Here is a 14,689-nt window from a genome sequence, read left to right on the forward strand (position 1 = left end):
ACAAAGGCTTGCTGTTTTAAGCCACTGTTGTAAGGACAGTGATGAACATTTGACTTGGTCTCTGAAGAGAATGGGAGTGGTAAACAAAAACAAACAAAAACAAACAAACCATATAGGATTATTGGTAATCTTGAAGGCCCAGATGAAGTGAAAGCCAGAAAACAATACCAATTTCATTTTGGAGTATTTACTATCCCTGAAAATTAATATAATGGGGGTGCTAATGCTAATTTTTAAAACCAAGGTTAGCTCAATGAATTCTCCTTTTATATAAACTAGTACCATTCACTCATTAGGATACCTACATAACTGCAAAATAATTCAAAGTACACAGAGACACCCTTTAAAGATTCATCATATACTTAGACGATATGATTCATACCACTTTCCTGTGGAAACACTCAAATTATTCACAATAAATAGAATGCAATCTTACAAAGTTGATGGCAGCACCAAGTGAAGATGGGTGCTTCCTTCAAAATACTTGATTTAGATTCTGCCATCTTATTCACATAGAACCTAAGAAACTCTTTCCGTAATTAAGCAGTAATTCACAATATATACATCTCTGAGGCACTTGTTGTTTCAATAGATGGTTTGTTCCTCTCCGTAATTACAAAGACAATGAGCCCCAAATAAAAAGTATCCTACATTTTTAGTGACTCAAGATACACACAACTCAATATAAAATTCATATTCACTAGAGCTACAAATCATAATCACTATCAGAAAATTCTATAATAAAATTTACATTCACTTCTCCTCCTACTAATCTTACATTTATCAGCATACTAACTAAGCAGAGTGTGGTAATTCCACATATTTGGAGCTCCTCTAAGCCAGTTTCTGGAGATACTCTAAGATATGGTTGGATTTTCTGAGAATGAAATGTTTTATACTTTATGAGGAACCCAACCAGACAAAGAAGTTTACTATGAGTCTCTTCCCTTATTCCAAGGACTTTGATTTCTGATGTTTGCCTCCATATTGTGTAACTGTAGCACCATGGAAAACACAATACATGTATTATTGTAGTAACATTACAGAGTTTTATCAAGAATCTCTGGAAAATAGATAATTTTGTTGTTTGTATACTGTCAGAATAATTTTAATAATGTACGATTCAGTAATTTTAAACAGGGAATCTGGCTGAATTAAATGCAGGTAAAACATAGTTACTCATATCCCATAGATAAGCCAAATAAGATATCCCATAAATGTCTTAAAACTTATAAACTATAATGGTTAGGTTCAACAATTGTTTATAAGGGACTGCAGTGGACCCTTTAAATTGAACTTCAGTGATTTGTCCATATGTACAAGAGCATCAAAATCCAGGGTCTCATTTCATGACAGCGTGTCTAGAAACTCATCTTACTAAGAATACAGAAGACTCTGAAAAGGTTGTCTTGTGATGCTTGAAACATATTCATAGTTGATTTATGCCAGAAAAGGGGACACTGAAAGTATTGTCATCAGCAGTTACGGGCTTCCTCTTCCAGTTAAGCTGTGGTACATCTCTCCGACACACACTGTACTTGACAACACTTGTGGTACATCAGTCTTGTTTGACAATTTTGTTCATCTCCCTTTTTTCTTTATATTAAGATGATCATCCATCTTACAGAAGCACCCATAGATTAATATTGTTATGAAAACATTCCTTATGTTTAGCTGACTCCTTGTAGACAAGCAGTCATTTTCATGTTTCCATTGACTTATTTCCAAATTACATTGCAAAGGAGATTATTTTTTTCCAACACGGGAAATTAACTTGATATTAATAGTATGGAGGCTCTTGTGTGCTTTCATAAGATAAGGCCTTTATTTATCTGCCTCCTGAAAGTGACCTGGGGCACTTCAGCCTAGTCTTGAAGTACATATTCTTTTGGGCCTCTGCAATCGCATGTTCATATTTTGAATCTAGTAACAGAAGACAAAATAGGAATTTATTTTTATTTTTATTTATTTATTTATTTATTTATTTATTTATTTTAAAGACGGAGTCTTGCTCTGTCTGAGCGGTTCAAGCAATTTTCCTGCCTCAGCCTCCCTAGTAGCTGGGATTACAGGTACACGTTGCCATGCCTGGCTAATTTTTTGAATTTTAGTAGAGACGGGGTTTCGCCGTGTTGTCCAGGCTGGTCTTGAACTCCTGAGTTCAGGCAATCTGCCTGCCTCGGCCTCCCAAAGTGCTAGGATTACAGGCATGAGCCAACCGCACCCAGCCAGGAATTCTTTTTGAGTGCTTTAATTTTTGGTCTTTAGAATTCTAGTGCTCAAGTTATGAAATGGAGGAGAATGTCTATTTTTACACTGAGTAACTCACACATTCCTTCTCAATGAGGGAAAAAACATACTTGTCTAAAAAGATATATACTAATTCATTATATGTGTTAATAATGAAAATAGTAGAACATGTCTGAGAATGCCTTTTCAAGGCCTGCATAGGGATGGAAATCTGAATTAAGCTTTGGAATTGCAAACGTCAGAATTGAGACTGCATTGATAAGCAGAAAAGCAAATAATGCTGACCTGAGATCTTCAACCTTCTCTCCTGTGGCTTTCATGAGTCTTGAAAGGAGACTGGTGCTTACTAAGACCACTGATTTGTACTAAGGAGCGTTTGCATCTGGTGTCTTCCCTTGTGCTGAAATAGCTCTGAGTAAATGCTTTGATTCCCTCATGATACTTATGGGACTTTTTTTCTAATGTGTCTTTTCCTATGTCTAAAAAGATTTGAGCTCTGACTAAAGGCTTTGCCACAGTCATGACACTTGTAGGGCTTCTCACCAGTATGGGTTCGTCGATGCTGAATCAGAATTGCGCTTCGGCTGAATGCCTTTGCACACTCGTCACATGCATAAGGTTTCTTTCCACTGTGGATTCTCTGATGTAAAATAAGGGCTGAGCTCTGACTAAAGATTTTGCCACATTCATCACATTTCTGTTGTTTTTTCCAAGAAGGGTTTCCTTGTCTCTTTTCAAACCTACCATCTTGTTCATAGGTTCCTCTATATGTGGAACTCTGGGAGCCATTCATATGAAGGATATTGGAAACATTGCAATGCAGTTCTATGCCTAAAGAAGTCTTTTGCCTTGAAGCAGATTTCACATTTGTAGTTTTGATGTCTTCATCTGAAATGGAAAAACAAATGTCACCAGGAAAGAGAAAGGATGATCCAAATGAAATATACATGATTATTGCTAGCATGTTTATAAAACAACACACAATGTGAAGGACGGAGAGTGTAAGACAAAATATTGAGAAGTTTATATAAGACATAGAGAAAGGTTTACATACTGAGGAGGCAGTCAACTAAACTGTAAAGTTGCAAAGTTCTATGGAAAAGACAGAATAGGGAATAAGGATAAAAAGATATGTCAGAGACTAAGGAAAGTCTGGAAGGAAAGAAAGGGCTTAGAAAGAAGAAATGATTGGAGACACAGAGAGCTAGAAGGAGAGGAATCCAATGTGCCAGTGGGAGTAACAAACAAGATTTAGTACTGGAGTATCAATAAATAAATAAAGCTTAATATTCATAAAGGAATCAGTAACTATGCAAAGAAATGAGCTGAAGAAAGCCAAGGGGCCAAAAAGGAATGTGGAAAATAAAGTAAGAAAATATAAGTTAGGCCAATAAAGGGAAGATTATAGACTAGGATAACTAGTACCTCAAAAGATCAAGGGTAGCAGAGTACCCACTGATGAAAAACCTCTACTCCTGTATGGATTTTATATTACTGGTTGAATCGCTGTTTGTTGTATTATTTTGTATTACATTTAACATCCATGAAAAACGTACATGGCTGCTTATGGGCTGCGGCCACTCAGGCGGCACACAAACCTGGCTTGATGCAGAGGGCCTTATGACTCAGGGTGCCTAAAGCTCCAGCAGAACTGCTAACTCAGATGTGAAAATGCCAGTGTAATGTGGTTGCATTACCTGAAGAAATCACTTCAGTTATCCTCATGGTGGCATTTTTTTTTTTTTTTTTTTTTTTTTTGAGACGGAGTCTCGCTCTGTCGCCCAGGCTGGAGTGCAGTGGCGGGATCTCGGCTCACTGCAAGCTCCGCCTCCCGGGTTCACGCCATTCTCCTGCCTCAGTCTCCCAAGTAGCTGGGACTACAGGCGCCCGCCACTACGCCCGGCTAATTTTTTGTATTTTTTAGTAGAGACGGGGTTTCACCGTTTTAGCCGGGATGGTCTCGATCTCCTGACCTCGTGATCCGCCCGCCTCGGCCTCCCAAAGTGCTGGGATTACAGGCGTGAGCCACCGCGCCCGGCCCATGGTGGCATTTTAACTGAAGCTGCTGAAAGACAGGAGCTTAAAATGAGTTTATAAAAGCAAAGTACAACAGTTTTGGACATGTCTGGGGAGATGACTTGGCTGGGGCTGACTGTGACTACTGGGGGTGCCTTTATCTGAAGTAATTATATAAATAAGATTAAAAGCAACCCAGAGAGGTACTGATGATAAGTGATTCCCTGGGCCCTCTCAAGGCCTAATGAAAAGGTTAGGGTGAGAAAGGTAGTCTGGGGAGAAGAATTAGTGATGCAATGTGATACTGAATAAGAAAACTGAGTTGTTGTTTTACTCTTTAGAATTTACTTAAAATGGATCTACCTGCTGTCTCTACAATCTCCTTAGAATCACCCAACATAAGCTCAAATCTTAACATAAGCCCTTCCCAATTCCTTCTTAATGACACACCCCATAGTTTCTGTGCCGTGTTCTCTTTCTTGCTGCAGCAAACTAAATAAACCTAACTTGAAAAAATATATAAAAATCAAATCAAATGGGTCTAAATAGTTATTACAAAAGGAATTTAAAATTATTTATTGTATTTATTCACAAATATGGTGTCTCAGTCCATTTTCTGTTGTTTAGAATAGAATACCTGAACTTGAGTAATTTATTTATAAAAAGAATTTATTTCTTATAGTTATGGAGGTTGAGAAGTCCAGGGTGGAGGGGTGCATCTGGTGAGAGCCTTCTTGCTGGTGGAGACCCTCTGAAGAGTCCTGAGGCAGTGGAGGGCATTTCATGGTGAGGGGGCTGAGCATGCTAATATGCTAACTCAGCCCTTTCTTCCTCTTCTTATAAAGTTACCAGTTCTCCTATGATCACCAATTAACCCATTAATCCATGAATGAGTTAATCCATTTATGAGGGCAGGGGTGATAATTCAATTACCTCTCAAAGGCCTCACTTCTCAATACTGCCACACTTGGGATTAAGTTTCAACACAAGTTTTGGAGGAGACAAATATTCAAACCATAGCATATGGCATACTCATTTATTATTACTAGTTTAAGTGGAAATCATTTTATAAATGGTAAGGATTCTGTCTCAAATTCATTTTTGATAGTTTATATTCCAAAGTGACCTCAATGATTAGTCATTACTATCAAAATCCTGGCATCAATTAGTACTTTACAGTACTGAGACCAAGATCATCTCCCAGAAGCTTTCATAAGACATGACTCAGTACCACAGAAATCATGTTGTGGCCTTAAGAAATGGTTCTATTATTCTATCAAGTGATTCTGGTTCTCTCTGCCTTGTACTGCAAGATCCTGGACCTGTTGCATTCTGTTTCAAATTTCTACGAATCTTAAAAAAAAATGTAGGAAAGGCCTCCATGAGGACATTCACAGGTAGGATGTGGTTCTTGCCACACCTGGCTTTGAGGTTGATCACTTCTGTAGTCACCACCACACCAAGCTGCTGAGGCTGGGATGGTCTCCCTCCCTTTCCTGACGGAAAATACTTTTTCGTGAAAAGACTTTCACTTTTCTAAGTATACCAAGACAATTTCTAGACTGGAGGTATTACGTGTCCCAGTATAAGCCTTCAGAGAGCCAGTACTTGCCAAGTTAGGGTGAACAATGTTTTCTAAATCTCTTTCTAAATTACTGTATTTCCTTTGTGTAGTTTCTTATAAAAATTCCCTTGGAAAAACTCTAACCTTGCTTAGCTATCAGCCACTCCTGAACTATGGAAGCAGTGCTGGAGAGAAGGAAGGAGATGCTCCCAAGTAGGATTTCCCTCTTAATCTCTGGCTCCTATTTTATCCAGGATGATCATCTAGAAGGAGGGTCTCTGCTCAAATGTCGCTTCATCAGAGAGGCCTTTCTACCACTCTATATAATAAGATCCTATCCCCACCATTCTGTTTAAAGTAGCATGGCCCTTTTATCAAATGAAATTTTACATTGAGTTCCAATATATAAAACAGACGAAAACACAGCTACTCTGTCTGAAGCAGGAGCAGTCACAGCCTACAAGGCCTCTAACTCAGCCTTATTTCTACTTCTCACCTTCCCTCTAGCCCCCTTATTCTGTTTTGTTTTTATTTTTTCCCCATAGCACTTATTTGTTTAGTATCTGCAATGGAAGAATAGATTGCTACACAGCTATTCTGGAGCACTTATAGAAAGCAATGCAAAGAGCAGTTGAGGCCAGTTGAAGATGTGAGGGAGTAGAGAAGTGTATTCAAAGCACGTATGAGAGCAAAGTCACCTTAGCAGCAATATAGGCGATTCTGCTACGAGATCCCACCAGTAACTGAGCAGTTATATAGGAAATGATGATGAGGATCAGTGGTCTCTGGGCTGTGTACCTTGGGGTCCCACAGAAAGGCCTCAAGGGCTGCCTGAAGATAAAAGGGCTACTTTAAAAAGGCATGAAAACCCTGATGCAGATGTCAGGGATTTAAAGTCTGAAGATTTTATAAGAATCTCTGAAAAAGAAGCAAGAACAAAATACTGAAGATCTTCATTTAGTAGGACAAATAACAGAAGTTCCCACAGTAAGGAGGAGATGAGAGGGGGAGATTTGAGGCCTCTTGCATAAATCAGCTGAGATGTGTGTGGTGAGCAGAGGGCCCCCACACCTTCCAACATGAACTGAATCCTGCCCCCTCACCATGTGGTCTTAAGGACTGAAGCTCCCATGATGCTCCCTGGAGCTGCTTCTTCACGGGCATGAGCTGGCTACTTGGCAATTCCTCAGTGATTTCTGAAGGTGCTAGCTTCTCTGCAATCATGTCCTTCCTTCGTCCAAAAAAGATCTAAAAACAGGAATAATTGAGGCTGAAGAACACCATCAGGTTGGGACTTGAGGATAAAATAACAGAGAAGAAACTATGCAAAAAGTATCATGGACACAGGAAAAGGGAGGGAAAAAGTAGAGCCACCTTCTATTTGCTGGGACACCCATTAGTACTTTCACCCCTATACATCCAGTTGTGCTGAGTGGGAATACAGTTTGAGAGCTCTACTCCCAATGATGTGCCAGTGCTCTTGACTCAGCCTGGGGGTTCATCTCCACAGGCATCCTTCTTACCTGCTTTGGTCCATCAAGCTCTCTCTCCACATCCTCCAGCATAGTCACAGTTTCCTCTCCATTCTCTGGATGATGCTTCTGCACCCAGGCCTGAAGCTCTTTTGGGAGGATGGCCAGGAACTGCTCCAGCACCAGCAGCTCCAGGATCTGCTCCTTGGTGTGCACTTCCGGCCTCAGCCAGAGATGACAAAGTTCCCAGAGCCGGCTCAGAGCCTCATGGGGCCCAGGTGAATCCTGGTAGCCAAACTGCCTGAATTGCTGGCGGAAGGTCTCTGGGCTGTAGCTGCTGCTCCAGTGGAGGCTAGAGTCTGGATCACAGGTCTGCTCTTCCTCTTCCATCTTCTCTGTCAGAATCCCATTACACTCCTCTGAAGTTTGTGTTAGGAGTGATGATGACTTTCCCAATTTTGCAGACATTTTGACAGACAAATAGCTCAGTACTGTTAGGCTTTAATCCTCAAGGAGGTGAAGCTGTCCTGATGGACACTCCTTAAATATGATTAAAGAAACAAGTGGAAAGAAGACAAAAGACAAATGCTTCTTAGAACAAAACAACTAAGATTAGAAACATAAGACTGTATAGGAACTACTGACCTTAGTCTTAACAGAAACCATGCTTTTATTTATTTATTTATTTTTGAGATGGAGTCTTGCTCTGTTGCCCAGGCTGGAGTGCAATGGTGTGATCTCGGCTCACTGCAACCTCTGCCTCCTGGGTTCAAGTGATTCTCATGCTTCAGCGTCCTAAGTAGCTGGGACTACAGGTACCCGCCACCACGCCTGGCTAATTTTTGTATTTTCAGTAGAGACAGGGTTTCACCACGTTGGCCAGGCTAGTCTCGAACTCCTGACCTCAGGTGATCCACCCGCCTTGGCCTCCTGAGGTGCTGGGATTACAGGCTTGAGCCACCACGCCAGGCCCAGAAACCATGCTTTTGAAGAATACTTCTTTAAGAGAACCAAACAGCTAAGACTCATTAATTCATATGCATAAGTGATTCACAATTCATTCTGAAAACCATGCCCACAAGGCTACTGAATATTACAATAAGAGATCAGCCAGGATTGCATAGAAGCTCCCAGATAATGGAAATAAGGGAAGCCTGAGAAATGCTCTAACTCTGGAGCCAGTTCAAAGAGCCAATCGGTATTTAGTGTGCTGCAAAGAGCTCAAAGAAATAGTCTCATGAGGGAAGCACTTTTGTGTGACTTTTTTCAGCTTTTACTGTTAAAACATTACTTCGACATTAAAGGAACCATTAAAAAAAAAATAAACCAATCAGCTGGGCACTGTGCTTATGCCTGAAATCCCAGCACTTTGGGAAGCCGAGGTGGGAGATGGGAGGATCACCTGAGCCCAGGAGTTTGGGACCAGCCTGTGCAACATAATGGGACCCCATCTCTACCCCACCAAAAAAAAAAAAAAAAGAAAAAACAACAAAAAAGGCAATCACGTTCCTTCATCTGAATGTATTTCTATTTTTTTCCATATCCATATTACTTACTTAACTATTTTAAAATACTTAGGTTGTTTCTAATTTCACTATTATAATTAATGCTGGGAGGCACATCTTTATGAATATACTGTTTTTCTCCTTTCAAAGTATTTCTTTCAAGCATGTCCCAAGGCCTCTGCTTGTTGAGGATCAAAGGAGAAGAGCAAATTCTGTCTTGCTATGTATTATCAAAATATTGCACAAAGACTGTATCAATTCACAATACCATCACAATCATAGTGACTTGTGAGGGCAACGATTTCTTCAAGTATTATTAGCTCGTTAGCAACAAAGTTGGGGGGGGACGGCACTTTCCTTTGTATCATTTTACTGTTAAGTATCACCAGTAACTAATCTCATTTTGTTGTTGTTGTTGTTTTGTTTTGTTTGAGACAGAGTCTGGCCCTGTTGCCCAGGCTGGAGTACAATGGCGGGATCTTGGCTCACTGCAACCTCTGCCTTCTGGGTTCAAGCGATTCTCCTGCCTCAGCCTCCCAAGTAGCTGGGATTGCAGACGTGTACCACCACGCCCGGCTAATTTTTATAATTTTAGTAGAGACGGGGTTTCACCATGTTGGCCAGGCTGGTCTCGAACTCCTGACCTCAGGTGATCCCTCTGCCTCGGCCTCCCAAAATGCTGGGAGTACAGGCGTGAGGCTCTGCACCCGGTCTAATCATATTTTTTAAATTGGGCAGGAGGTATATGATAGTGTTTGTACAACTTCAGCAAATGATGACTACTTTAAAAATCTTACGTGCGCCTCCGTCTTCCATCGTTATGTATCCTGCCATTTGACTTATTTTCTCACTTCACCAAGTATTGTTCTAGGCCCTGTATAAAGCCTGTGAGTTCATAAAGTTGTTACCAAATAAATGATACAACTTTACACAATGATGTGCTATGAAACAAACAATAGCAGACACACATATTAACAGAATTTACTATGTGCCAAGCACTGTTTTGAACACCTTAGTAAAAATAAACAAAGGTTAAATCCTCATAAAAGCCCTAGATTATTTTTACCCCCATGTTGTAGACGGGGAAGCAGTCACAGCAAAGCCAGGTACTCTGGCCAAGGGCAAAGCTGGGGTCTGAACCCAGGCCGTCCACATTTATCCATGGTGCTGTGTGGTTAGAGGCCATAGGCAGCAGGGGCCCTTGTGGTGACCCCTGCGCGTTGTCTCAGCGCAGAGGAGGAAGTGGCGGCAGGCAGCCGCGCTCCCAGATGAAGCGGGGCCAGAAGAGTCTGGGGAACAAGACCTGAGAGGTGGGAAGGGTTGAGGCCACCGGTTTGGAGCCGTCAGGTACCCTAAGGGATATATGAGGGACCCCGGGGCTAAAGCAGCCTCTGGAAGAGAGTGGCCGCCCTGTCACTTCAGCACCAGGCGCAGAATCTGTGCTAAACCTGAGGTGAGGGTAAGGAACCCCCGACACCGCACGACAACCAGAAAGAACGTCCCTGGAGGGGAGGCTTCGATCAAAGCCTGGGACGCAGGGGTCTTTCTGCAGGGGACGCCGCTCTCGGCTCTACCCTGCTGTGGTGGGCCGGCTCTGGGAGGGCTGGCTTCCGACCATCTCCCGACCTCCCGCGCCCACCGCGCCGCGCCGCGCGCCTCCCAGGCTGGGAACCGCCGGGGCGAAGCGGCAGGTGGCGCGGGTTCACCTGGCAGGGCAGGCGCCCGGGGTCCGCCGGGGAAGGACGAGGGGAAGGGGTGCGCGGACTCAGGGGCAGGCAGCGGAGGGGAGGGGCCTGGGGATCTGGGACGGTGTAAGGGTGCTGCACTTGCGCGCGAAGGGAGGGGTGGCGACGAGTCCGCGGCCGCCTCTCCGCGTCCCCCTTCCACCACCCGGGGACCACCGCCTCTGACCGCAGCCTGGGGGCCCTAAAGAGGCCTCGGGTCTCACCTCCCGACGCCGTCGGGGAGAAACCGGGGAACTGCCAGCTGCGCAACAACTTCCGGTTCTGGTGGCGGGTCGGGGCGGGGCCCGGAACGCGGGGACGTTGCCATGGAGAAGAGCCGCTGTGGCCGCGCACTTGGGACAGGGAAAGAGAACCGGGAGGCTCGACCGGTGGGAATCCAGCTGCTCTGCTCAGTGTTCCGTTCAATAAACTAGCATTGTTGCTTCGCAAAGTGCTTTTGCTTACATTATTCATTTACTCCGGTAACTCAGTAAGGTTATTCCCATTTTACAGAAAATAAACTCAAATGTCCTGTGACTTGCCAAGGATTACAGAGAGGGGCGAATGCTGTGCTGTCTACCGCTGAGTACAATCCCTAATACCATTCCCACTCCCGAAGTGGTTACACCCCAAGTACTGACGTTTTAAGGGACAAGTTTGACATCCGCAACCCCATGCTTTCACAGGAGAACACAATGGCCCTTGAAAAAGTGAGAACTGACCCACATAAAATTTGTTACAATACATACACATATCTCTCCTCAGATAATCTTAATCTCAATTGAAAAATAAGTTTGAGGCCGGGCGCGGTGGCTCATGCCTGTAATCCCAGCACTTTGGGAGGTCGAGATGGGCAGATCACATGAGCCAAGGAGTTCGAGACCAGCCTGGCCAACATGGCTAAACCGCATCTCTACAAAACATACAGAAATTAGCCGAGTGTAGAGACGCATGCCTGTAGTCCCCGCTTCTTGGGAGGCTGAGGGGTGAGGATCACCTCAATCTGGGGAGGTGGAGACTGCAGTTAGCCATGATTGCGCCACTGCCCTCCAGCCTGGGCTGCAAAGTGAGAGCGTCTCAAAAAATAAATAAATAAATAAATTTAAGCCTAAATGCACCACAGCCCCACCTCGTGACTTCCTTCTCTAGCCCCTTTCCCTAGGGACTCCTGGAAAATGTACTTGTACTCGTAACTGAGGAATTAGGGAGAGGACGGAGATGCTTGAAAAGCACTTGCTAATTAATAAAGAACAATAACAAAAAATCCCTTTTGGTATGACGCCGCCCCAAAAGTATGTTAGTACTGGAATCTGAAGTGAAGAAAGAAGAGGCTGGTTTACTCAGTTTATGACGCTAGGGGACTAGGGAGAGGTTTGGATCCCAATTAGAGTACAGTAAAACTAAATCTGAAGAAATTCTTGCTTCAAACAAGGGGCTTTCACAGGATAAGACTTTTTGCTGATGCAGCTGCCAACACAAATAGCAAACAGCCCAAAAGTGCAGGTGGGAATGTGTTTCTGGCGCTGGTGGGTAGGGTAGGTTAAATGACTCACGTCAGGGGAGAATTTGAAACGAGGGCAAGGCTTGGCAGTGGTGTGAAGTCACAGGAGACAATTTAAGGAGAATATGAACGACAGTCAGAAGCTTCAAGGAGAAGGAGGAACTGTGGGATGTGGCAAGAGGTCAGGGATGATGAATTCATGGGTATGGTCCACCAAACAGCCAGATATCAGAGGCCAAAGTTAAAAACAGCAACAACAAAAAAGGGAGCAGACATAAAAGATTGATTAGAAAAGTTTCACAGTCAGGTAGTTAGAGCAAGAACAGGTTTTTGTTTGCTGTTTTAATTTTTTAAAAATTTTGGGGGTAAAGTGAAAAGAAATTAGCAGGAATAAGGTCCCAGTAGGGTGAGCACCTACTATATACCAGTTGTATCGTAAACACCGGGAATTCAATGGTAAAATATAGATTCTTGCCCTTTAGGGGCTAATAGACTAAGTAAAGAGAAAGATGAATAAATTGACTTTTCTAAACAATGTGGCAACATTCTGATGGAGACAACTGCAGGATACTATAAAAGCACAAAGAAAGGGAGGTCCTGGGTAGAGACTGGGATTGGAGTTGATGGAGAAAGCTGGTGTTGATACATTTGAGACTGAGGTACCAGTGTGGGATGTTGTTTAGATTTGCTGGATTAAAGGACAGCAGGATGAGTGGCTGAGGATGAGGCTGAAGAGGCAAACAGCAGCCTAGTTTTAAAGGGTTTGACAGGCCAAGTAAAGGGCTATGAACTAAGGTTTTAAGCAGAAACTTGAATTAGTGGCATGTGCACATCTGCAATTCAGGTAGGGCTCTCTGATAGCAACACGAAGGATAGATCTGAAGGGAGGCAAAACTCAAGACAGGGTTACCAGCTCTGAAGCTGTTGCAAAGATCCAGGCTGCAGCTGGTGAAGGTCTGAACTAGCACAGAGGGGACGAGAATGGAGGCAGATTCTGGAAACACTTGGGAGGCTGGTGCTTGCTTAGATGGAAGACTGACAGATGATTGGGTACATAATGTGTCATTCAGGGAAGTTAAACAACAGAGTATGTTTGACAATGGCTTATGTGGATATTTGAGGGGATTTTTGGGTAGACTGGATCAGAAGCTGAATGGGATGCTATCATCAATAACTGCACATAATTGGACATTTTGTGTGATCATGTGAAAATAAATATCAAACATGTTTTATATCTGAATGCTTCCCTTATATAGGTATGTAAAGATCTCTATGACTTTTATGAACCATTTCTAAGGCAATCACTCTACAATGACATTATAGAGACATTTATTTCTCAACTTTGTACTCTTCACCACTCCCTTCATCCCAACATATTTGCTCTCCACCTAGGTAGAAGCTTTTAGGGGCATGGATCTGTGTCTGTCTAAACACATAACCCTTGTTTTTTTTGACCCGAGGTGCATGAAGTGGATGTATTATACACAGCTGCCATGTTTCTATAGGATAAGGAATTAGAAGGTTAAGAAATTTAGGTTGGCTCAAGCATGGTGGCTCATGCCTGTAATCCTAGCACTTTGGGAGATCGAGGTAGGAGGATTGCCTGAGCCCAGTAGTTCGAGACTAGCCTGGACAACATGGCAAAACCCCATCTCCACAAAAAAATACCAAAAATTAGCTGGGCATAGTGGCATGCACCTTTGGTCTCAGCTTCTTGGGAGGCTGAGATGGGAGAATCACTTGAGCCCAGGAAGTCAAGGCTGCAGTGAGCCATGATCATTCCACTGCACTCCAACTCGGGCAACAGAATGAGACCCTGTCTCAAAAAAAAAGAAACTTAGGTTTATAAACACTGCATGTTCTCACTTATAAGTGAGAGCTAAACATTGAGTACACATGGACACAAAGAGGGGAATAATAGACATTAGGGCCTACTTGAGTGGGGGGTCGGGGTTCAAAAACTACCCACTATGCCTATTACCTGGGTGATGAGATAATATGTACACCAAACCCCCATTCAGTTAATCTGTATAACAAGCCTCCACATGTACCCCAAAACTGAAATAAAAAATTAACAAAAATAAAAACTTTAAAATTAAAAAAAAAAGAAATTTAGATTGAGCAATAAAAAGCAATTTGCCTACAATGGAACTATGGTTTCCAAGCAAGTGGTGGATGGGTTGTATGTGTAGGAGTCCAAGTGTGGGTACACACTTGTCAACCTGAAATAATAAAAGGGTCAGAATCCAGTTTTAAAGAGTTTATTCAAACAAAAAGCTGGGAATAGCCATTCCAGGACACACAGACTCCAGAGAAATGGGATCAGTGCTCCAAAGTTAAAAGTTAAATCTTGCTAATATAGGAAGAAGACAAAGAAATTTATCAGGATTGCAACATTTTCTATACAAGGCTGGCTTAATAGTTTCAACAAATTAATTAGTTAGTTTGTTTTCTTTTCCATATAGCTTGTTTTCTTTATAGTTGGTTTTCATTTGGTTTCCAATTTAAAAGAGTGTATTTAACATTCTATCTTAAGTCAATGTGATAGTCAAGAAGTCTGTGTGTGAGAAAGGTAAGAGAAAGGTGAATCTATAATAAAGGCCAACAGTGGAGAGGGAAGGGGTCTTCCTCTTCCCTTTGGCCATATATAACATTTT

At 42.6% G+C, this 14,689-nt stretch overlaps 1 protein-coding gene across 8 annotated transcripts, besides 2 other annotated features; it reads right to left on the reverse strand.

Moving 5' to 3' along the window:
* Window positions 1-171: 171 nt before the first annotated feature.
* On the reverse strand, window positions 172-10,815 carry ZNF396 (zinc finger protein 396). 8 transcript variants are annotated; one of them, XM_017025689.2, is made up of 5 exons: window positions 10,756-10,815; window positions 7,354-7,842; window positions 6,934-7,078; window positions 2,995-3,138; window positions 172-1,923 (listed from the first exon to the last, which is right to left on the reverse strand). In XM_017025689.2, exons 2-5 carry the CDS (start codon window positions 7,768-7,770, stop codon window positions 1,829-1,831), a joined length of 801 nt encoding a protein of 266 aa, XP_016881178.1. In that variant the 5' UTR covers window positions 7,771-7,842; window positions 10,756-10,815; the 3' UTR covers window positions 172-1,828. The 8 variants fall into 8 exon arrangements, with proteins under 8 accessions (XP_016881178.1, NP_665699.1, NP_001309219.1 ...); NM_145756.3 differs by having other exon boundaries at window positions 2,794-3,138; NM_001322290.2 differs by adding an exon at window positions 9,874-10,110 and having other exon boundaries at window positions 172-3,138.
* Window positions 10,331-10,520: a silencer, noted in NCBI's record as "silent region_9398". NCBI's record gives its function as "represses an Ori minimal core promoter by ATAC-STARR-seq in GM12878 lymphoblastoid cells {active_cell/tissue: GM12878}" and the evidence as "EXISTENCE:reporter gene assay evidence [ECO:0000049][PMID:35858748]".
* Window positions 10,531-10,600: a silencer, noted in NCBI's record as "silent region_9399". NCBI's record gives its function as "represses an Ori minimal core promoter by ATAC-STARR-seq in GM12878 lymphoblastoid cells {active_cell/tissue: GM12878}" and the evidence as "EXISTENCE:reporter gene assay evidence [ECO:0000049][PMID:35858748]".
* Window positions 10,816-14,689: the final 3,874 nt, after the last annotated feature.

This window comes from Homo sapiens, chromosome 18, assembly GCF_000001405.40.
Source record: "Homo sapiens chromosome 18, GRCh38.p14 Primary Assembly".
NCBI classification, from domain to species: Eukaryota; Metazoa; Chordata; class Mammalia; order Primates; family Hominidae; genus Homo; species Homo sapiens.